At 39.0% G+C, this 22426-nt stretch overlaps 1 protein-coding gene across 10 annotated transcripts in view; it reads right to left on the bottom strand.

Annotated features, from left to right (window-relative positions):
* MYPN (myopalladin) overlaps positions 1 to 21878 on the bottom strand; it is a 124121-nt gene extending 102243 nt beyond the window's left edge. For 3 of the 10 annotated variants that reach the window (NR_045663.4, NM_001256268.2, NM_032578.4), the window contains exon 1: positions 52 to 287. Coding sequence is in view for 2 of the 10 variants with exons in the window: in XM_017016833.2 (XP_016872322.1) it covers positions 2974 to 3050 (77 nt within the window). In the remaining 8 variants the exon portion in view is untranslated. Of the gene's footprint in view, positions 1 to 51; positions 288 to 2973; positions 3769 to 16516; positions 16720 to 21782 lie in introns of those variants that run through there. The other 7 variants (NR_045662.4, XM_017016833.2, XM_017016834.3 and 4 more) reach the window with 5 other exon arrangements.
* Between the last annotated feature and the right edge of the window lie 548 nt (positions 21879 to 22426).

Raw genomic sequence — 22426 nt, 5'->3', positions numbered from 1 at the left:
GTCAGTGCCCTGTTATCAAAACACACTTGTGAACTTAAATCTGGATATTACCTTTCTTTTTTTAGTTGACCCAGATGAGGATGTCCAATCCAGGCACTCCACTGCAATGATAATTATCCAGGGAGAACTTTTAGATGAAAGCACAGGAGAAGAGGGAAATTCTTCACGCCCTTGGAAATAGAGAGTAGCCGTCCATAGAGAGTGAGGAGTTAACCTTAGTTTCAGTGAAGATGGCTGTAAGAAGCTGGACAACCTGTCACCACCGGAGCCAGAGCATTTGTCAGCTCACAGGTCCCAAGTTATTTTGAGCTGTATAAACCATGTGCCTGTGAAACATTCCACCTGATTGGACAGGAGAAAACTGAGCAAAGGGATTCCATAGCAGGACAGCACCTATGGGGGTGGGGGTCAATCAGTTCTTTTACCTATAGAATTTCCCTTATAGCTAGAGGCCCATGTTATTTATTGATTGACGTTTGGAATGAACACTAAATGCATTATACCATAGTTCATCATTCAAAAAAATGGCATTATTTTTAAATGTATGAAAACTCTTCATTTTAATTTTTAAGATCTTTAATTTTAATCAATAGGAAATTTACTCTCATTAAATCACTGATACATTTTAGGACATTTGGCTATGAAAAGCCAACCTGAAGCTAAGGTCTAACGTTTTAAAGCTGAGAGCTTTTTTGGATTGTTCGTCCAAAGGCTAAGCAAAAGCAGACAAGGTAACTAACGTTAAAAATTCCTTGGCTGGGCGCAGTGGCTCACTCCTGTAATCCCAGCACTTTGGGAGGCTGATGTGGGCAGATCACCTGAGGTCAGGAGTTCAAGACCAGGCTGGCCTACATGGCGAAACCCCGTCTCCACTAAATATACAAAAATTAGCCAGGTTTGGTGGCGCATGCCTATAAATCAGCTACTCAGGAGGCTGCGGCAGGAGAATCACTTGAACCGGGGAGGTAGAGGTTGCGGTGAGCCGAGATCACGCTACTGCATTCCAACAAGGGGGACAGAGCGAAACTCTGTCTCAAAAAAAATAATAAAATTAAAAATAAATAAATAAATAAACTTGAAAAAAGTTAACCTGATTGCTTAGTATAGATTAAATGATGCTATAACATTATCAATCATGGTAGAAGACAGGACTTTGAAAATTCAGACTTAAATGATGGTTATTATTCTTTAAAAAGATCATTCTTAGATTCTGATAGCATGAAACACATTGGTTTAAATCTAGCTTTCTTAATTAAGTCATACAACTGCTTATAGGGTTTCTTCCTAGTCATTCATTCATTTGATAATTATTTTCGTAATGCCTACTGTGTACCAGGTACTGAGTATAAAACAGTGCACAAAATACACAAAAATTTCTGACCTCGTGGAATTTACGAAGAGATCTTTATCCTCTTCAGTCATCGTGAGACTATTGATAGTACATTGAACAGATATAAAATTTCTTTGCTTATTGTGATCACATTGGAGGTTTAATTACACCTTTTTTATGTGGTTTTATGCTTACACAGGCAAAAAAAGATGAAGAACACTTTTAAATAATTCAGATTGAAATAACTGGTATTGAGGAGAGAAGAGGATACAGGAGGAAATGAATTATCTGTACAGGTTATTCTCATTACCACAGTAACCCAGAGCTTCAATGTACAGATTTATTTTTTCTCTTACCTAATCTTGTGCTGATACTAATGTCAAGACCACTTAATTGTCCTTCTGCATATTCTATTTATGTGGATATGCCAACAATTTCTTTTTATTTAAAAAGAGGATCTTCCTCCACTATCCCACTCAGATCTTAAGCCGTAATCAATGTTAAGTGCTGCTGGGTCTTGGGTAGGTCTCTCCCATGGGAGAATAGAACCTCTATTTCAGGTGGCTAGTAAAGGCAATGTTTAAACACACTATAAGTAAACACATTTTTACTTTCCTGCAAACTGCCATGATAAGCCTGGTATTCTACCTTTCACCCAGGTATAGAATACTAAGGTTGAAGGAGACTCATACTAAAAGGTAGAATAAAGCTGGTTGGGCAGTGAAATTAGGAATCTATATGAAGAATTAAAGTAGGTTTAAAATGCAAAAGAAGAGTTACAGAAAAAAGAAGCCGGCCGGGCGCGGGGGATCACGCCTGTAATCCTAGCACTTTGGGAGGTTGAGGCAGGCGGATCGCCTGAGCTCAGGAGTTTGAGACCAGCCTGGGCAACGTAGCGAAACCCCATCTCTACTAAAAATACAAAAAAAAAAAAAAATTAGCAGGGCGTAGAGGTGCATGCCTGTAGTCCCAGCTCCTTGGGAGGCTGAGGCAGGAGAGTCTCTTGAACCTGGGAGGCAGAGGTTGCAGTGAGCCGAGATGGTGCCATTGCACTCCAGACTGGGTGACACAGCAAGACTGTCTCAAAAAAAAAAAAAAAAAAAGAAAAGAGAAGCCAAAGACATTCTGAATGGCAGTCATCTTTCTCTTTTCATTTTTACTGCAACATTTTCAAATACAGATACCATACACAATTTTTGAGCTCTTTGAAAAAAAGCTGAATATAAATGTTTTAAATAAATAATATTTAGTAATTGTGAACACTCTGGTTATAGTACATCAAACATATTTTAGATTTTAGTTTTTAAAAACTAATTTCTGCTTCCAAATAACCCAGCTCCTGCCTTGCTTATCTTCAGTTGTAATTGTATAAACATTATATCACAAACCTACTAGTTCAAGATTTCATCAGAGTTTATTGATACAAAAAATAATCTTTAAAACTTTCTAATGCCCAACATAGTTAAAAACAAACTTTGTTAAGTGGCAAGCAAACACAAGGTTGGTTACATGTCTTAAGCCTTCCCCATAAAGTTGAGTGGCTCATCCAACACATGTGTTTCTTGTGGTTTGAACACGATCCTGTGCTTGCCTTCAGCTGTTTTCTTAATTCAGTCAGTCAGCCACAGAAACAATTTACTCACATTGGGATGATCCACAGGAATGCCAAGGAATCTGGAAGTTCTATGGCAGAGGAAGTCTTCACTTGGACGGTAAGCATGGGAGAATTTCCATGCTAGTAGATTCATATAAAATGTTTGCATTTGCTATTTTTTTATATCGCTATAGGCTCCAGTTCTCTAAAACAAATTACTCACATATACCAAAGCTTCAATAAGTTTTGCTTGAAGTTCATAGATTCATCTTGACATATCCAGTATCAGATGAAAAAACTAAACAAAACCTCTATGCCGTATTTTTGAAAAACAGAGAAAGTATGTATTTTTTAGCCATTTTTAATGAGAAAAATTTTCACAGCAAAGACAAGTTCTTGACTATCCAAAACAATAGATGGGTGGTGGATTATAAAAGATCTTATATAAAAGGCATGACAACAATATAATTGAAAAAGACAATGAAATCACTAAGAAATTTCTTTTTCATCTAAACTACTGAAAATGCTTGCCTGGGAAAACTAAAAACATTAAAAAAAAAAACTAAAAGTTCAAAACCCACTTAGTTTTAAAAACTAAAAACATTTTTAAAAACTAAACAGAACACCCACTTTAAAACATTATCCTGAGAAGTAAATTTGTGGTTACCTGTCTCAGGAGAAGCACCATTCCTATATCAATCAACCAGGATCATCTAAAGTCCAAATCTCACTGCCTAACTTGTGTCAGACACAAAAGTGCCATGAAGGAAATGTGATACTGCCCCGCCAGAGTAATGAAGGGTATTTACAGGGTTCCGTTGCAGATCCAGGGACAGTCATTTAGAACAGATTGCTCTTTCAGATCAACTTTAATAACTCAGTCTGCACGATGTTCTTAGCCTGCAGGGCTGGTGGGGGTGGATAATGACTAAGATGACTAAGGAAATAGGCTTTCTTGATTTCTCCTTAGTCTAAATGAAAATAAGAGTGAAGAAATTCTCAAGAATAAAGCATATGGAATACATAAGATATCTATACACAGGATGCATATTACATGTATAAATATCTTTATCTGGTACCAAACTGGGACTATGGTCAAGGCATTTATTAAGGTAAATACGAAAAAACAATCAATTATTACAACACTTCCTGTTTGTTCCCCTAATTTTAAGGTGATTAAATTAAAGCTTTACTGTGTGGTTTGCATTAAAACACAACAAAGCTTCCTTTACTTGTTCTTTTGGTATGTAGTACATATCAAAGTTTACACTTTTCAAAAAGTATTATTTCCAAGAAGAAAATCTATTCAGAACTTTTTAAAAGAGCACTCTGAGACTAAGTTACTGAAGAAATCTGGAACAATTGTTACCATGTATGTACTCCTCAAGGTATACAGTTAAATCCTACTTCTCACCACATTAATATAATGATTATATTAACACACATAAATATACTATAGTCTTGGTAGTAATAAGTTAACATTCCTTAGCTATGTGCGAGGCACTATGCTAGGCTCTTTGTGTGTGTGTTTTATTTAATAGATTCCTTTAACGTCTATGAAGTAGGTACTGTTATAATTCTCATTTTACAGATGAAAACTTGAGGCTTAGAAAGAAGTTTAAAACTTGCCCAAGGTCACACAACAAGTAAGTGACTGAGCCAAAATTGAACCTGAGTCTGTGCTCATAACCACTGCAAATATTCAAATGATTATATTTCCAACATATTTGTGAAAAATTCAAGGTAAAAATGAATAGAAAACATATTAGGCCGGGCATGGTGGCTCATGCCTATAATCCCAGCACTTTGCAGGCTGAGGCGGGTGGCTCACCTGAGGTCAGGAGTTCAAAGCCAGCCTGGCCAACATGGTGAAACCCTGTCTCTATTAAAAATACAAAAATTAGCTGGGCGTGGTGGTGCGTGCCTGTAATCCCAGCTACTTGGGAGGCTGAGACAGGAGAATCACTTGAACCCAGGAGGCAGATGTTACAGTGAGCCAAGATCACGCCCCTACACTCCAGCCTGGGCGACAGAGTGAGACTCTGTCTCAAAAAAATAAATAAAGAAAGAAATAATAGAAAATATATCTTTCTTTTAGTAAATATTCTAAGGGAACACTATATAGGGTTTAAGTTTGTAATTTTTCTGACTGAAACCGACCCTGACATTATTTTGTATGACTAAGCAAACAAAAAGAAGTGATAATTTAGAAAGAAAAAAGCAAATGCTTGCAATAAACTCTACATGCAATGTTTTATCTGGGAACATGAATTGATATGTAGACTGGAGTTAGGCATTATTGCTGAAAAGTGGGGCATTGGAAGCAGTCAGAATGCTATGACAGACCTATTTTTTCATTTCTATTTGTTATAATTATTGTGCTGAAATAATACAAGAGGTTTGTTCTTTTAAAACTAAATTTAAATGCTTTGGTGTTATTTCTGAGCACAGCAACATGGGTCAATAAAGTTTTTACAAGTTAGGGGTAGGAAAATAACAGCTTGAATATTCTCTCTTCATAAGGTTAGCTCAAAATATGCCAATATGCCAGGATCTGAGTGATTCCACACAGATTCTATTTTTGGTCTGCTTGGACATCTCCAAAAACTGAAAACAAAGTTCAGTGTTCTTACTCATGACCCAGGTAATCACACTAATGTTAATGATGTGCGGGAAAGGAAATGGGAACTAACATTTCTTACAAGTGTATTCTAGGCTGGGGAGTAGTCTAAGTTACTCTCATTTAATTCTCATAGCAACCCTGCAAAGTGTTGTTATCTGCATGTTACTGGGAGGAAATTACGCCTTAAAGAAGCATAGTTTTCCCAAAGTTACCCAACCAGTGAGTTACACAGTTGAGTAGATTCAAACCTAAGCCTTTTAGAGGCTTGTTGTTGTTTGAGACAGAGTTTCACTCTTGTTGCTTAGGCTGGAGTGCAATGGTGCGGTCTCAGCTCACTGCAACCTCCAGCTCCCAGGTTCAAGTGATTCTCCTGCCTCAGCCTCCAAAGTAGCTGGGATTACAGGCGCCTGCCACCACGGCTGGCTAATTTTTGCATTTTTAGTAGAGACAGGGTTTCACCACGTTAGTCAGGCTGGTTTTGAACTCCTGACCTCAGGTGATCTGCCCACATCAGCCTCCCAAAGTGCTGGAATTACAGGCATGAGCCACCACACCCAGCCTAACATAAGCCTTTTAGTTTAGAACTCACTCTCTTTTCAATGGCCCTCCACTGTCTTATCATGAAGAAGAATCTTTAAGATTAGTTCAAAAATCAGAACTCACTCAAAGGAGGAAATTCATCATGATTTTCATATGTATTGATGGGCAATGGGATTGTTAAAGATACCACTTTAGTTTTATTGACTTTGTGTTTATTTAATAGAAACATGAAGGGTACAGAAAAATAGCATATGACTAAGCTCTAGGGCTATTTTCACAAAGAAGACTCAATAAAATTGGTTGACTGAAATAGCAACGGCTAATACACACTTCTGGGAAGTTACCATCTTATTACATATAATTTGTCAGGAAAATAGTAAGTGCCAAATGGAATGAAACTGTTGTCAAGGAGGAAAGAGTACAGAGGAAGAGCTTGGAGAACACAGACCATGGAAAATTCAAAAGAAATTTGTATCTTATATCCTTATCCAAGTTCACATTTTTATTTGCATATGAATCTATATGTCTGGCATTTTCCAGAGTCAGCAAACTTCCAAGTGAATAAAGGCAGTAGGAAGACCTGCAAAATCTTTTTGTTTTGCTTTTTCATCCATTTTGCTCACCTCCAAATTGCTCTTCATTCCAAACTAAGAATGAATTAATCAAAACAGCCCAAACAAAGATTCATGGTTCAATGTAATTATCATGTGTATTAAATATCTTAGATCTCCTTTCCCTTCATCTTTTAGGCTAGACAGTGAGCTTCAGTTCGAAATGCAGGTGATAATGTCACTAAAAGGGATAAGTAAGCAGATAATGTTACAGAGAAGTTAAACACAAAAATTTTTCACAATGGGGATAAATTTAGCTGGGGATAAATCTATTATAAGTCCACTGGCCTGACAATATTGTGCAAATTTTCTTTTTTTTAATTGTAGTTAAGTTAATATAATCAAATACAAAGAAAATATTCCAAGAGCTTCCATAAGTAAAGAGCAGTTCACCTGCAAAGGAACAAGACCCAGACTGCCATTCGATTTCCCAACAGCAACACTGAATGCAAAACAATAGAGCCATATTTTTAAATAATGGAAGGAAAAGAAATTTGAACCTAGAATATTATTTCTAGACAAACTGTCATTCAAATTTGAAGGTATAATAAAAGTACTCTCTCACATAGGTCTCAAATGGTTTGCCATACAAAGACTCATTTTTTGTGAGAAAACATTTTGGGAGAAAGTAATAAAAATAAGAGAAGCACAGCAGGTGAAGTGGCTCACAGCCATAATCCCAGCACTTTGGGAAGCTGAGGCGGTGGATGACTTGAGCCTAGGAGTTTGAGACCAGCCTGGGCAACATGATGAAACACCACCTCTATAAAAAATTTAAAAAATAATTAGCTGGGCGTGGTGGTGTGTGCCTGTAGTACCAGCTACCTGGGAGGCTGAGGCAGGAGGATCGAGCCTGGGAGGTGGAGGCTGCAATGAGCTTTGATTGTGCCACTGCACTCCAGCCTGGGCTGCAGTAAAATGAGACCCTATCTCAAAAAAAAAAAAAAAAAAAAAGGAGAGAGAAATAGATCCCTGAAAATTGCTGTTTAAGAGATAGAGAATTAATGAAAACCAAATATTTTGGTAATATTCATCATTCAAGAGAACCCAGAATTTAAATTCTGGGCAGTATCAAAAAATTAAAGGCAGATGACAATGTGATAAAGTACTTTTCCTGTTAGGAGAAAAATGCAAATATTAATAAGTTAAGGAAGTCAATAGGGATAAGTAAATATGAGACTATATCTTAAGATAAGGATAACAAGTATAAAAACAAAATTTACAATTTCTAAACCAGCAGAAGAAAACTTGACCTATACAATTGAAATCAGGAACAGAAACAAAAAGGAAGAAATGAGAAGTTCAGTAAATTAAAAATATAATAAGCTATCAGAAGTAAGTTTTAAAAAATTGAGTAAATATAAGTACAAATAGGTTAAATCCACCAACTAAAAGACAGATACTGTCAACCTGGAGTTAAGAACAAGAATATTAAATAAACACATTGAAGACAAAATGAAAAAAAATGTTAAAAATGAAAGGAATGAAAGCTTATATTAAGCAACTATGAACCTAAAGAAAGTTGGTGTAGTAATCTTAATATCGGACAAAAGAGAATATAAAGCTAAAAAATACCATCAGGCCAAAGGATGACATTACATACTGATGAAGGCAGCTAGAGCAAATTTTCATCAAGGATAAGAAAAGCTTTGGTATAATCAGAAATGTGAGCATCCCAATCTTATGAAATACAAACCACTGTTCTGGTCTTACCTGCCACTCTTCTACACAATTACTTATCTCCAACCAAAATGTTCCACCAATATTTCCTTGCCTTCTCTTTACTTCGTGCCTTTGTTCACTGTCACTTCCACTTATGTAATTAAACAACTACTTGTTGCTTGTTGCAGTGTTTCTTATATTGTTGAATTCAACCAGGTCTTTTTTTACGTATTTATGTATTATTTACTCAACTAGATCAACTTTTTGAGAATTGAAGCTATACAAAATTTTTCTTTTTAGGTCACTCAGTTCTAATCTCAAGGCATGACACAAAGTAGGCACATAATAAATATTTATCTGTGGCATGCCATAAAAATGATGTGTAAACTGTCTTATTCAGTCAATCAACATGTATTTACTGAAAACTTATCATGTGCCAGGAAAGATCAAATGGCCTAGACTCTCAGCAACATTAACTGATTTAATTGTCATTAATGGTTATGATTTTTTTTAACACAAAAATACTATTAAGAATTAAATCAAATGAAGAAAGGAGCTAAAAATGATCGTATGTTCACCATGCACCAGTCACAAACTGAGGAACTATATGTGCATTTGGCTCAATGGATGCTTATAATTCTTGAGATAATTGGTATAGGGGAATTCTTGCTTTTGAAAAAGACTTGGTGCTGTTTTCAGTGACCACCTTGCCCAAGGGTTCGTCCACAGGTGCTAATAAGAGGTGTTTTCGTACTTTTACATCCTTCTAAACCGGCTTACTACTATTTTTTTCTGACTACCTTTGCCCAACCTTTGTTTTACATAAGGTCCTTGCTTTCTATCCACCCTGTAAAGATCAGGCTCTTTCTTGCTTCCATATGCTGCTTCTAATGAGTTTTGTGCTTCATGACCCTAATCCTCATCGCCGATGGGCAGTTCTGTTCATTCTCATGCGCTGGTTTTGGGGATCCCACTCAAGCCACAGACTGTTTCCTGTTTGCCCAGAAATAAACAGTACACTTAAAACACACATAATATTTTCTAATTTCAATCATGATTTCAACTATTTGTGACTGACTGCAAACTGGACTCATTTCTGGAAAGGCAGATAAGCCAGAATGAATTATTTAGCTCCCTGAGTGACCCTAGCTCACCCCAACCCAGCATCCACATTAACCAAGCTTTGTTCTTCATATTTAATTCATAATTTAATTTACTACAATAACCCAGGAAGTATAGGTCATTATCCCTATTTAGTGAAGGATGAAACTGAAAAAATTATATGCTACTGTGGTTTTTGCAAATTCAAGGATCTGAAAAAGACTTAGGAAGCATACTTTAAGATTTTCCAAGGTATACTATATCATTATCCTCTTTTTATAGAGGAGGAAACTGAAGATCAGAGAAGAAATTGCACAAAGCCACTCAGAGCTGTGATTCACATCTAAGGTCCATACAACGCCGAAGCCCAGCTCTTGTCTGCTACACCACGCCACATTTCAGAGGCCTGCACACTCATTAGTAATGCATTCAGGAATCTATTTGGAAAAAAACACAGAAGATGCAGAGTAACAAGATGGAGACATCTGGTGATATTGGTATTACCTTGATTTCATGACTTCCTCCAAAGTGTTTCCAAGTCCTTGGAAATGCAGGTGATTTACTATCTCTCACTAGTCAAAGAAATAGCTTAAAGGAATTGAAGCAACAATACATAATAAGCAATTCTCTCTGTGCATCTCTATCTGCAAATTATTAGTTACTTTTTTTTTTTTGAGACAGAGTCTTGCTCTGTCACCCAGGCTGGAGTGCAGTGGCACGATCTTGGCTCACTGCAACCTCTGCCTCCCAAGTTCAAGTGATTCTCATGTCTTAGCCTCCTGAGACATGAGGCTGGGATGACAGGCGCGTGGCACTATGCCCAGCTAATTTTTGTATTTTTAATAGAGACTGGGTGTCACCATGTTGGCCAGGCTGTAGTTACTATTTTTAAAGTAGACATCTGAAGTTACCTACAATCACATATTTGTTATTACATGCCAATAAAAACAACAACAACAACAAAACAACACTCCTGCCCTTGAAATTGGTCTTCATTATGATTATTTTGTATATAGGAAAGTTAAGCACTAGAAAGGCCATGCTGCATATCCATGTAAGCCAGCAGTAAAACTCAGATTTTCAAGTTGACATTATTAATTTAGTCTAATGAGGGTTATTTTGGGAGCCACCCCAAATTTTATCTATTAGCAAAACTGGAGCAATAAATGTGTGCCAAATGAGACTTACAACAGCTTTGAGTAACTGGGTATACAAGGCAACAAAAAGAAACATTAAAAGGTGGTTATAGATTATTTTATGTCTCTAAACAGTAATTACTACCAATATTATTTTACTAAGTCTTAAGAAAACTGTGAGAACCAGATTAATTTATATGTTCATCGAAACATATGTAATTGCTTCGTGAACTTTATTTTAAAGGTCACTTAGTGTATTAAAAACTTCTTCCCTGGCTACTATGGGAAATCTCATAAAATAAAGACCCAGATTTTCAAAAAAAATTTGTTTTTTGAGACAGAGTCTTGCTCTTGTCGCCCAGGCTGGAGTGCAATGGCATGATCTCAGCTCACTGCAACCTCTGCCTCCTGGGTTCAAGCGATTCTCCTGCCTCAGCCTCCTGAGTAGCTGGGATTACAGGCGCCTGCCACCACACCGGGCTAATTTTTGTATTTTTAAAGAGACGAGGTTTTGCCGTGTTGCCCAGGCTGGCCTCAAACACCTGACCTCATGATCCGCCCGCCTCGGCCTCCCAAAGTGCTGGGATTACAGGTGTGAGTCACCGTGCCCAGCCAAAAAATTTCTTACCTGCTTTCCAATTTTGCATGAATAGTGGTGAAAATAATCTAATTACTATGTTAATAAAAAGAAGTAGCTGGACTGCCTGTTTGTCATTTGTTCACCAATCATGTGAACTATGTGTTGGAATTAAGTGTTTGATAGAGATTTATTTTATTTTGTCCTCTCAAATTAATTTAGATTCTAAATCTATTAATTTAGAAAGTGAAGGGCAGAGAACGTTTCCAAGTGCCACGATCAGGTAATGTTTAACTTAAATAATAAAAAAATAGATAAGCATAAAAGCCATAGTAAAATTGAGATCTTTTTTTTGGAGACAGAGTCTCGCTCTGTTGCCCAGGCTGGAGTGCAGAGGCGCAATCTCAGCTCACTGCAACCTTCGCCTCCCAGGTTCAAGAGATTCTCCCACTTCAGCCTCCCAAGTAGCTGGGATTACAGGTGCCTGCCACCATGCCCAGCTAATTTTTGTATTTTTAGTAGAGACAGGGTTTCACCATGTTGCCCTGGCTAGTCTGGAATTCCTGAACTCAGGCAATCCACCCACCTTGGCCTCCCAAAGTGCTAGGATTACAGGCATGAGCCACCATGCCCGGCCTAAAATTGAGATCTTTAAGGACCTTAAGTTCAGAATAATGATGCACATGAACTAAATTTAAGAAAGGGACATCACCTCTTTTGAAAACAAATAGTACTTAAAAACTAGTACTGAAAGATGAACAATTTTAAAATTTGGAAATTGATATATGCCCCATTTGGTTTGGACACGGATTTTTTTTTTTTTAAATCAGCTATATAGTAAGATGATAAAAGAGAAAATCAAATAAATGCTATAATTAGGAAGAGAGTAATTTAGTATTTAGAGCTGTATTCCAACTCCGCCACTTATTATGTGAGAAACATTAGGCAAGTTATTTAATCTCTTTGTGTCTCAGTTTTCTCACCTCTGTAAAAGAGGAAAATATCATAGGAATGCTGTGAGACTTAAGTGAGTTAATACTTTTAGAACAATGCCTGGCTCCTAGCAAGTGGTCAATAAATGTAAACCACCACTATTATCATTACTATTATAAAAATATATTTATTTTAAATAAACATCTTTTAGTTCACTTTGTGAAGTCACAGAGTGGAGCACACCCAGTTGCACTGAGCTGTAAACTCTAAGGAAAGGCCAAAGGCTGAATGGGCCACCTAGACTGATGAGTCAGACACAGCAGCAGTTCAGGTTTCCAGACTGATTCAGTCCTTGGCGTCTATCCCGAGGCTGACAACAAGAATGCTAATTAGTGCCAAGGGTGATGAGTTTTGTAACATGGGGTGCTCCATTAGAGATGCAAATCAGATCACTTACATCTTGTACAGAGCACCAATAGTAATCAAGTTCAGATTCACACCGGTAACATAGAGGTAAAATGCTTCATATCTAGTTACCATGTTCCTGAACCATATGCTTCTGAATTCTATGTTCTCTACTCACCTACTGCCAAGGAGCTAAACATAGCTAAAGGATTTAAATTATAATTTGATCTGACAACCAGGTATCAAACAATCCTTCTTTAGCCAAATAAGTAGAGCAGAGACAAATATCAGAGCAGTATATCCAGTTTATGCTATGTGCTTTGTGATAGGAAAATAATAATTGAGCGTATTGATATATCTCTTGTATTATCTGATCTAAAAAGGATGTCAGCATAAGCTTGGTATTCAACATAGACTAACCAAATTATTGTTAAGGTTAAGTGATTTTGAATAGAGAAATCTAGGAAAGTGAGGAATATCCTAACCTTTCTATGATCGTGAATTGTCTAATAGACTACCGTTGAATGCATATAAACACTCTTATGTAGAATAAGACAAAGCAGATTCAGTTCTTCTAAATAAATGCTCCTGAGGATAATGATGATGAACTGGGACAGATGTCAAATACAAAGGAACGGTGATGTTTTAAATCCTATTATATTCAAATGCCCAAATATTATTAATAATACTGTGCTTGAATAATTTTTTTGCCTCACTCTGTCACTCAGGCTGGAGGGCAGTGGCACAATCTCAGCTCACTGCAACCTCCGCCTCCCAGGTTCAAGTGATTCTCCTGCCTCAGTCTCCCGAGTAGCTGGGACTACAGGCGGCTGCCACCATGCCCGGCTAATTTTTGTATTTTTAGTAGAGACGGGGCTTCACCATATTGGCCAGGCTGGTCTTGAACTCCTGACCTTGTGATCCTCCTGCCTCAACCTCCCAAAGTCAGATCTGCTTTAATACTCATGTTTCACATATGAGAAAACTGACATACAGAAAGAACAATTGACTTAAGAGTTACACGGCAAGTCAATACTGAAGTATTAAGAGTTATCATTTGCCCAGACCAGTGTTTATCTTATAAATCTTCAGGTTTTGGTGAATCTTGTCCCCATAAATAGGATGACATGATTTAGGAATTATTAGAAATATCGGTTGATTTGTGTATATTATCTTTTATCGATCTCTGAATCAAATTCATACCTAATAATGAACTATCTTAGCATAATTCTATTCTATTTCAATTTTGTGAGAAAAAGGCCTAATAAAAAATTTATTTTGAAATCTGATCTCCAGATAACAATTTTTTTTCCATTCTGGATTTTGGTAAAATATGCATAACATACAATTTACCATTTTAACCATTTTGAAGGTTTCAGTTCTGTGGCATTGAGTACACTCACATTGTTGTACAGCCATTGTCACCACCCACCTCCAGAATCTTTTTCATCTCGCAAAATTAAACCTCTGTATCCATTAAACAATAACCCCCTATTCCCCTCTTCCCCCAACTGCTGGCAACCACCATTCTCCTTTCTGTCCCTAGGACTTTGTCTTGCTACTCTTAGTTCCATATAACCTATGCTTATGAACATTCAAAAGTGTTTTGTCTTTAAAGAAAACTTAGGGGAAGATTCTTTAAATTATTCACTTCCAATTAGTCTCTGAAGTAAGACTCTGTAACAGAGCTCTGCCTGGAGGATCCACATTAGGCTGGTTCTAGGTACTCAGTTTGTGGAGTTGTAAATGGCTGGTACTTCAGATGGGAGGCAGGGAGACCCTGGTCTGCAGTGTGATTTGTGATAGGCTCTCCCACCTTGCCACAGTGCACAGGATGCTTCTGCAAATTACAGCCAAAAAAGAGTTAGTCATATGCATGCCTTTCATGCCTTATAATTTTTTTTTTTTTTTTTGAGACAGGGACTGACTCTGTCACCCAAGCTGGAGTGTAATAGAGTGATCTCTTCTTACTACAGCCTCGACCTCCCAGACTCAAGCAATCTTCCCACCTCAGCCTCCCGAGTAGCTGGGACCACAGATATGTGACTCCACACCCACACCCAGGTAATTTTTGAATTTTTTGTAGAGAAGGGGTTTTACCATGTTGCCAAGGCTGGTCTGGAACTCCTGAGCTCAAGCAATCCATCCACCACAGCCTCCCAAACTGCTCCTGACCTCGTGCCTTATATCTTCTTCATTGCTTTTAAAAAGTCTCCCTCTGTAGCCCAGGCTGGAGTGCAATGGTGAAATCTTGGCTCACTGCAACCTCCGTCTTCCAGGTTCAAGTGATTCTCAGGCCTCAATCTCCCTAGTAGCTGGGATTACAGCACCCGCCACCATGCCCAGCTACTTTTTGTAATTTTAGTGGAGACAGGGATTCACTATGTTGGCCAGACTGGTCTCGAACTCCTGACCTCAAGTGATCTGCCCACCTTGGCCTCCCAAAGTGCTGGGATGACAGGCCTGAGTCACTGTGTCCAGCCCCCATGCTTTATATTTTACACAGTCACACCCACCTATTTTTTGTTTTCTTTGAAAATGCTAAACTTTAAGACCCAGTGACATTGTTTCAGAGGAGCCTAATTTACATATCACGAAATAAATTTTATTTGTATTAAATGCTGCTACCTATGCCAGAGGTGTTTGAACCACGGTGACTTCCATCTCGAATAGGGGCTGGGTAAAATAAGGCTGAGACCAAGGCTAGAGGCAGTGGCTCACGCTTGTAATCCCAGCGCTTTGGGAAGCCGAGGTGGATGGATCACCTGAGGTCAGGAGTTGAAGACCAGACTGGCCAACATGGTGAAACCCCGTCTCTACTAAAAATACAAATATTGGGCGTGGTGGCAGGCAGCCTGTAGTCCCAGCTACTCAGGAGGCTGAGGCAGGAGAATCGCTTGAACCTGGGAGGCAGAGGTTGCAGTGAGCCGAGATAGCGCCATTGCACTCCAGCCTGGGCAACAAGAGCGAAACTCCATCTCAAAAAAAAAAAATTAATTAAAAAATAAAATAAGGCCGAGACCTGCTGGGCTGCATTCCCAGCAGATTAGGCATTCTTAGTCACAGGATGAGACAGAAGGCGGGCAGGATTGGTTTCACAAGATATAGATCGTAAAGATACTGCTGATAAAACAGGATATGGTCAAGAAGCCAGCCAAAATCCACCAAATCCAAGATGGCGACGAAAGTGACCTTTGGTTGTCCTCACTTCTCATTATACGCTAATTATAGTATATTCGCATGCTAAAAGACACTCCCACTCACCACCACCGTGACAGTTTACAAATGCCATGGCAATGACAGGAAGTTTCCCTATGTAGCCTAAAAAGTGGAGGGGCCCTCAGTTCTGGGAAATATTTACCCCTTTCCTGGAAAACTCGTGAATAATCCACCCCTTGTTTAGCATATAATCAAGAAGCAACAATATGTATACTCAGTCTATGTCTACTCAGCTCTGCCTACGGAGTAGCTATTCTTTTATTCTTTTACTTCCTTTTTTTTTTTTTGAGACGGAGTCTCGCTCTGTCACCCAGGCTGGAGTGCAGTGGTGCGATCTCGGCTCACTGCAAGCTCCGCCTCCGGGGTTCACGCCATTCTCCTGCCTCAGCCTCCCGAGTAGCTGGGACTACAGGCACCCGCCACCACACCCGGTTCATTTTTTGTATTTCTTTTTTTTTTTTTTTTTTTTAGTAGAGATGGGGTTTCACCACGTTAGCCGGGATGGTCTCGATCTGCTGACCTCGTGATTTGCCTGCCTGGCCTTCCCAAAGTGCTGGGATTACAGGCATGAGCCACCACGCTCGGCCTATTCCTTTACTTTCTTAATAAACTTGCTTTCACTTTACTCTATGGACTTGCCCTGAATTCTTTCTTGATCCAAGAACGCTGTCTTGGGGTCTGGATCGAGACCCCTTTCTGATGTCAGCTACATTTTTAGAGCCATGGTTTTGTCAAGAATTTTAAGCCATTTTAGAATACTTAAGAGCAAATATAATGAAACTTACCAAGGTCAAAAGCACTGGTTTCTAATCTTTTCAAGGTTGGGATGAGGCCTCCTTTTTCCAACATGTAAAAATGTTGTAGACAGCTGGACCTGGTGGCTCACGCCTAAAATTCCACCGCTTTGGGAGGCCAAGGCAGGAGGATCACTTGAGCTCAAGGGTTCATGGGAGACCAGCCTGGGCAATATAGTGAGACTTCATCTCTACTAAAAAAAATAAAAATTATCTGTTTTCAGATAATTTTTGATGTACACATGGATTTGTGGGCCCATTACAGTTAATTCATGGCCCTCCAGGGGTCTTGCTCACAAGTTGGAAACCACTGATCCAAGAAAACAAGCAGGTTCGAGCCCCAGCTCTATCTCTCACTAGCTATACAGCCTTGGGTAAATCATTCTACATGCTTCAGTTACCTCACCTTTTCAGTTAACGAAAAATGAGGAAAACTGTTTTGCTTACTTCAGAAAATTTACAATGAGTATAAGAATGAAATAATATACAAAGGATTGAAAGCTTAAACATGACACATAAAATAAAGTGACATAATTATGAAAGAATTTTATTTTATAGAAAACACATGGAAGCATCATACAGCACTCCTACACTCTGAAAATTTAACTAGAAAATCAACATATCATGAATAATGCATGTAATTTGACGATCCTTAAGAACAACTAGCATTCCTGTATTTATAAGGATGTTCATCAAGAACTGCTTGTAACAGCAAAAAACTGGAAACAACATACATTTCTTTTTTTTTTTTTTTGAGACGAAGTCTCACTCTTGTCCCCCAGGCTGGAGTGCAATGGCTCAATCTCGGCTCACTGCAACCTCCACCTCCCAGGTTCAAGTGATTCTCCTGCCTCAGCCTCCCGAGTAGCTGGGATAACAGGCGCCTGCCACCATGCCCGGCTAATTTTCATATTTTTAGTAGAGGCAGGTTTTCACCATGTTGGCCAGGCTGGTCTCAAACTCCTGACCTCAGATGATCCACCCACCTCGGTGGGTCTCCCAAAGTGCTGGGATTACAGGTGTGAGCCACTGCACCCGGCCAACAACATACATTTCTTAACATGGAAAGATGATATGTAAAATTTTTTTCACCAGTTTTCAAAACAATATTTATGACTGCACTTTATTTTTTAAAATTCTGGAGTCAAATACTCTTTTCTTTTTTTTAGAGACAGAGCTGTGCTCTGTTGCCCAGACTGGAGAGCAGTGACACAATCATAGCTCACTGCACCCTCGAACTCCTGGGCTCAAGTAATCCATTCACCTTGGCCTCCCAAAGCACTGGGATTACAAGTACTAGCCAAAGAACCCAACCTGGATTACAATATTTTAAAATGTTAGTTATAGCCAGGGAGCAGAATTACGGGTGATTTTTCTCTTGTAATTTTTTTTTTTTGGCTGCACTTTAAAAAAAAAAGTTCTAATAAAAGTGTTTATTTTTATAAAGAGGACAAAATAGTAAAACTCTTCCTCCACATCAAAAAACCAGAATGCCTCAAGCACATCAAAAGAAGGAAAATAAAAAAAAAACGAGCAAATTTGGGCTGTAGTCTAGGCTGGGCGCAGTTGCTCATGCCTATAATCCCAGCACTTTGGGAGGCTAAGTGGGGGCAGATCACTTGAGCCCCGGAGTTCAAGACCAGCCTGGGTAACATGGTGAAACCCCATCTCTACCTAAAATACAAAAATTAGCCCAGCATAGTGGCAGGCACCTGTAGCCCTAGCTAATCGAGAGGCTGAGGTGGGAGGATCACCTGAGCCTGGGAGCTGGAGGTTGCAGTGAGCCGAGATTGCACCAACACACTCCAGCCTGGGCAATAGGGCAAGACCCTGTCAAAAAAAAAAAAAAAAAAAAAGGGCTGTAGTCTAGTTGATGGTATATATGTATATATGTCTTTATACTTAAATATAAATATGCATATATCTATATCTTAAGAGGTAATAGAATGACAGGTAGGAAAGAGAAATCAGAGAATAAAGAATCAGCACTGTCCACCCGAGAGAGCCCTATTGCTCCTGGTGGAGAAGCTGGGAGCCCAGGCCAATGCTCACAAGATGCCATAATCAATTACCTGCCTTTCTCCAGTCCATGCCTACCCAGCAGCATTCTAATTTCAGTTTAGTTTTTTAAAAAATAAGTTTCCTCGTAAAGAAAAGAAAAGCTGATTTTTAACATAACATGCTGTTTGGTTTGCTTTAAAACCATTTTTATCATTGTAAATTAACAAATTGGAATTCTGGCTGACCTAGTACTCTCTTGGGAATTTGGTTAATGCGAGTACTTTGCTAAGGGGCCGGATCACTCTAAGAATTTTGGGAAAAAATATATATTACGTTTCTGAGTTTGAAAAGCTGAACACCAGACAATGAAACCTGGTAATTTCATCAATGTAATTATAAGCTCCAAGGTCTTATGACAGTCAACCAACTGGACTTCCTTAAGAAGCGATCCTATAATTCAATGTGTCACCTTTAGCATGAAATAAACACAGGGCAGGTATGTCTTGGAGACATAATGGAGTTTTACAGTATGAACAATGGGTATAACATTTTAGCTATAATCCAGTGTTATCATTCCTAGTCTGGAGATGTAGATAAAGACCAGAGAAAGTAAGTAGGTTATCTAAGATTATAATTGATAGTTCAAACTTGAAATTATAATTAGTGCCTCCTAGTCCGGGATATGAAACTATTTTCCCCAGCCTTTATGAAAGAATGTCACAGCTCTATATTGCACATATTCATGACTATATCTACCTTACCTGTTTTAATAAGTGCTCATTGAGGCCTGGCGCGGTGGCTCACGCCTGTAATCCTAGCACTTTGGGAGGCCGAGGCGGGTAGATCACTTGAGGTCAGGAGTTCGAAACCAGCCTGACCAACGTGGTGAAACCCCATCTCTACTAAAAATACAAAAAAATCAGCCGGATGTGGTGGTGGGTGCCTGTAATCCCAGCTAGTTGGGAGGCTGAGGCAGGAGAATTGCTTGAACCCAGAAGGCAGAGGTTGCAGTGAGCTGAGATTGCGCCACTGCACTCCAACCTGGGTGACAGAGTGAGACTTTGTCTCAAAAAAAAAAGTGTTCATTGAGTAGTATGTTCAAAGCATTCTGCCAGGTTAAGATTTTTTTCAAATCTGCTCTGTAGGTTTTATAACACGAGTAGACGTCTAACACTGAAAGTCGGATGGAGGAAAATATGCCTATTTACTAATAATCTAATACCTGCAAGGCGCTATTCTAGACACACTACATCATACTTCATTTATTATTTACTAAAACCTTAGGCTGTGTCCCATATAAGTTCTCTAATGATACCCTAAATGGATATACTTCATTCCATCAGATCATATCCAAGATTATCATTAAGTGAAAATTATCATTACTGTAAAGCATTTATTAATCATTTCATTATATATAACACTGAAGTACCACTATAACTGGACAATCTTAGAGTAATGGGTTATAAATATTCACTGAAAACAGAGACTGGAGACAATTACAGATCCTTTTTTGGGTGAATCAACAGTTGATACTTCAACAACAAAAGAGGCTTCTCTTCTCTCTTCTCGCACACTTAAGCATTCTCTTAAAAACAAACAAATAAGGCCAGGCGCGCTGGCTCACGCCTGTAATCCCAGCACTTTGGGAGCCTGAAGCGGGCGAATCATGGGGTCAGGAGATCGAGACCAGCCTGGCTAACACGGTGAAACCCCATCTCTACTAAAAATACAAAAACAAAATTAGCCGGGCATGGTGGCAGACACCTGTAGTCCCAGCTACTCGGGAGGCTGAGGCAGGAGAATGGCATGAACCCGGGAAACGGAGCTTGCAGTGAGCCGAGATCGCGCCACTGCACTCCAGTCTGGGCGACAGAGCGAGTCTCAAAAACAAACAAACAAACAAATAAACAAAAAACAGGCCAGGCAAAGTGGCTCACACCTTTAATGCCAGCACTTTGGGAGGCCAAAGTGGGTGGATCACTTGAGGCCAGGAGTTCAAGACCAGCCTGGCCAACGTGGCAAAACCCTGTCTCTACTAAAAATACAAAAATTAGCTGAGCACTGTGGCGCATGTCTGTAATCCCAGCTACTTGGGATGCTGAGGCATGAGAATCACTTAAACCCAGGAGGCAGAGGTTGCAGTGAGCTAAGCTAGCACCACTGCACTCCGTCCTGGGTAACAGAGTGAGACTCTGTCTCAAAAATTAAACAAACAAACGAACTCACAAAAGACTACGCATTGTGTGATTTCATTGATGTGAAATATCGAGAATAGGCAAGTCTACAGAAACAGAAAGTAGATTAATGGTTTCCTGGGGCTGTGAGTGGGAGGATGTTGGAGGAAAAGAGGAGTTACTGCTATTGGATATGAGGGGGTGATACAAATGTTCTAAAATTGTTTGTGGCAATGGTTGCACAACTCTGTAAATTTTCTAAAATCCATTGACTTACACACTTTAAGCAGGTGAATTGTATGGTGTATTAATTATATCTCAATTAATTTATTTTTTTAAAGTTCTGAATTTCTGCTATCCACTTGCACAACTCCTTCAGATTAACCCTGTGAGAAACTGTGTTAATAGCACTGGAAGGTTTTTACCATTAATGAGGAGCTGTAACTTCAAAAAGCAATTGGTAATATATTATTAAAATGAATTCTAGTATGGGAGACAGAAACTTATAGAAACAATGGAGAGTGATAGATCAGCACCCTGACTGGGAGTTATTCATGTGCAACGTAAAAATCTATCACTGATCCAGTTCTTTATGAAACAATAATACAGAATATTCTGGTCCTCTCTAGGATTCTGTTGACTGTCCTCAATCAGCTCAATTGCTCTGCACTTCATTCATGAAAAAAGCAGACTGTTGCCCACTGAGTCCTATTTGTATTATCTCTGATCTTTCCTTCTTGGCTCTGCAGTTTCTTTACATTGCTTGGCAATGCCCTTTCATCATTCCTTTTCCCACATGGCTTTAAAGATTTTTCTAGGACACCCTCCCCTCTTTAACACTTGAAAGAAGCAGCACCTACATACCCCAGAGAGCCCCAATTCAATAAGGTGAGAGGGAGTGGTTCAGATGAATACCCTGATTAAGGATGAATAGAATGTTCTTCATCTATTGCTCTCTTAATCATTAGATTCCTGGAGGCACCTTTTTACTGGGACAGTATTAAATATTTCAATTATCTGGACATCCCCTTAAGAAATCTCTTGCTTTACCTCCCAAGATGAATTTTGAGGGAGGACCTTACCTGGCACAAACAGCAGTGGAGCTCCAAAGGCTACATTGGGTAGTTCCAGCCGGGACTCCCAGCCCCTCACCTCACTTGTTGAGGGCAGGAAAGGCTGCCGTGGTTTTCCCTTCCTGGGCTTGCCCATCCTGCTAATTTTAGGCTGCTTCCTCATGCCACTGCCATGGGTATCAGAGCATGTGGCTCCCCTTGGAGGAGCTATTTTCTCCTGTGAGCCTCACTTGTTTGTTTCCAGCTTCTCTCCCTTCCCCTCCCTGCTCCCCACCTCTGTAGGGTAGAGTTGTTTCATAGTAAAAAATAAAACATCTTTCAGAATCATACTCTGATCTGCATTTATTCCTCAATCTAAGACACCAAGGGAAACTTTACTTTTTCCCCCAAGGGAAACTTTTCATGTTAGATTTAATTGTACCTGCCAATAGCAAGATTTCCAAATCATGTTTACTTAACGAATATTTGCTAAATTCCTACAATGAATAAGATCTTGCCCTAGGTCACTGGGATACAATGATGAGCAAAGCAAACTTGTATTTCACTGATGAAATCTTAATAACAGAGATTTATTAAACTTCTGCTATGTTCAGTGTTCTCTGTTAAGACTTTAAAATATAAAAATCAATAGGTAGAACCCCTTTCCTCAAAGA

This window comes from Homo sapiens, chromosome 10 (genome assembly GCF_000001405.40).
Source record: "Homo sapiens chromosome 10, GRCh38.p14 Primary Assembly".
NCBI classification, from domain to species: Eukaryota; Metazoa; Chordata; class Mammalia; order Primates; family Hominidae; genus Homo; species Homo sapiens.
This window is presented reverse-complemented; position numbering and strand designations above follow the sequence as displayed.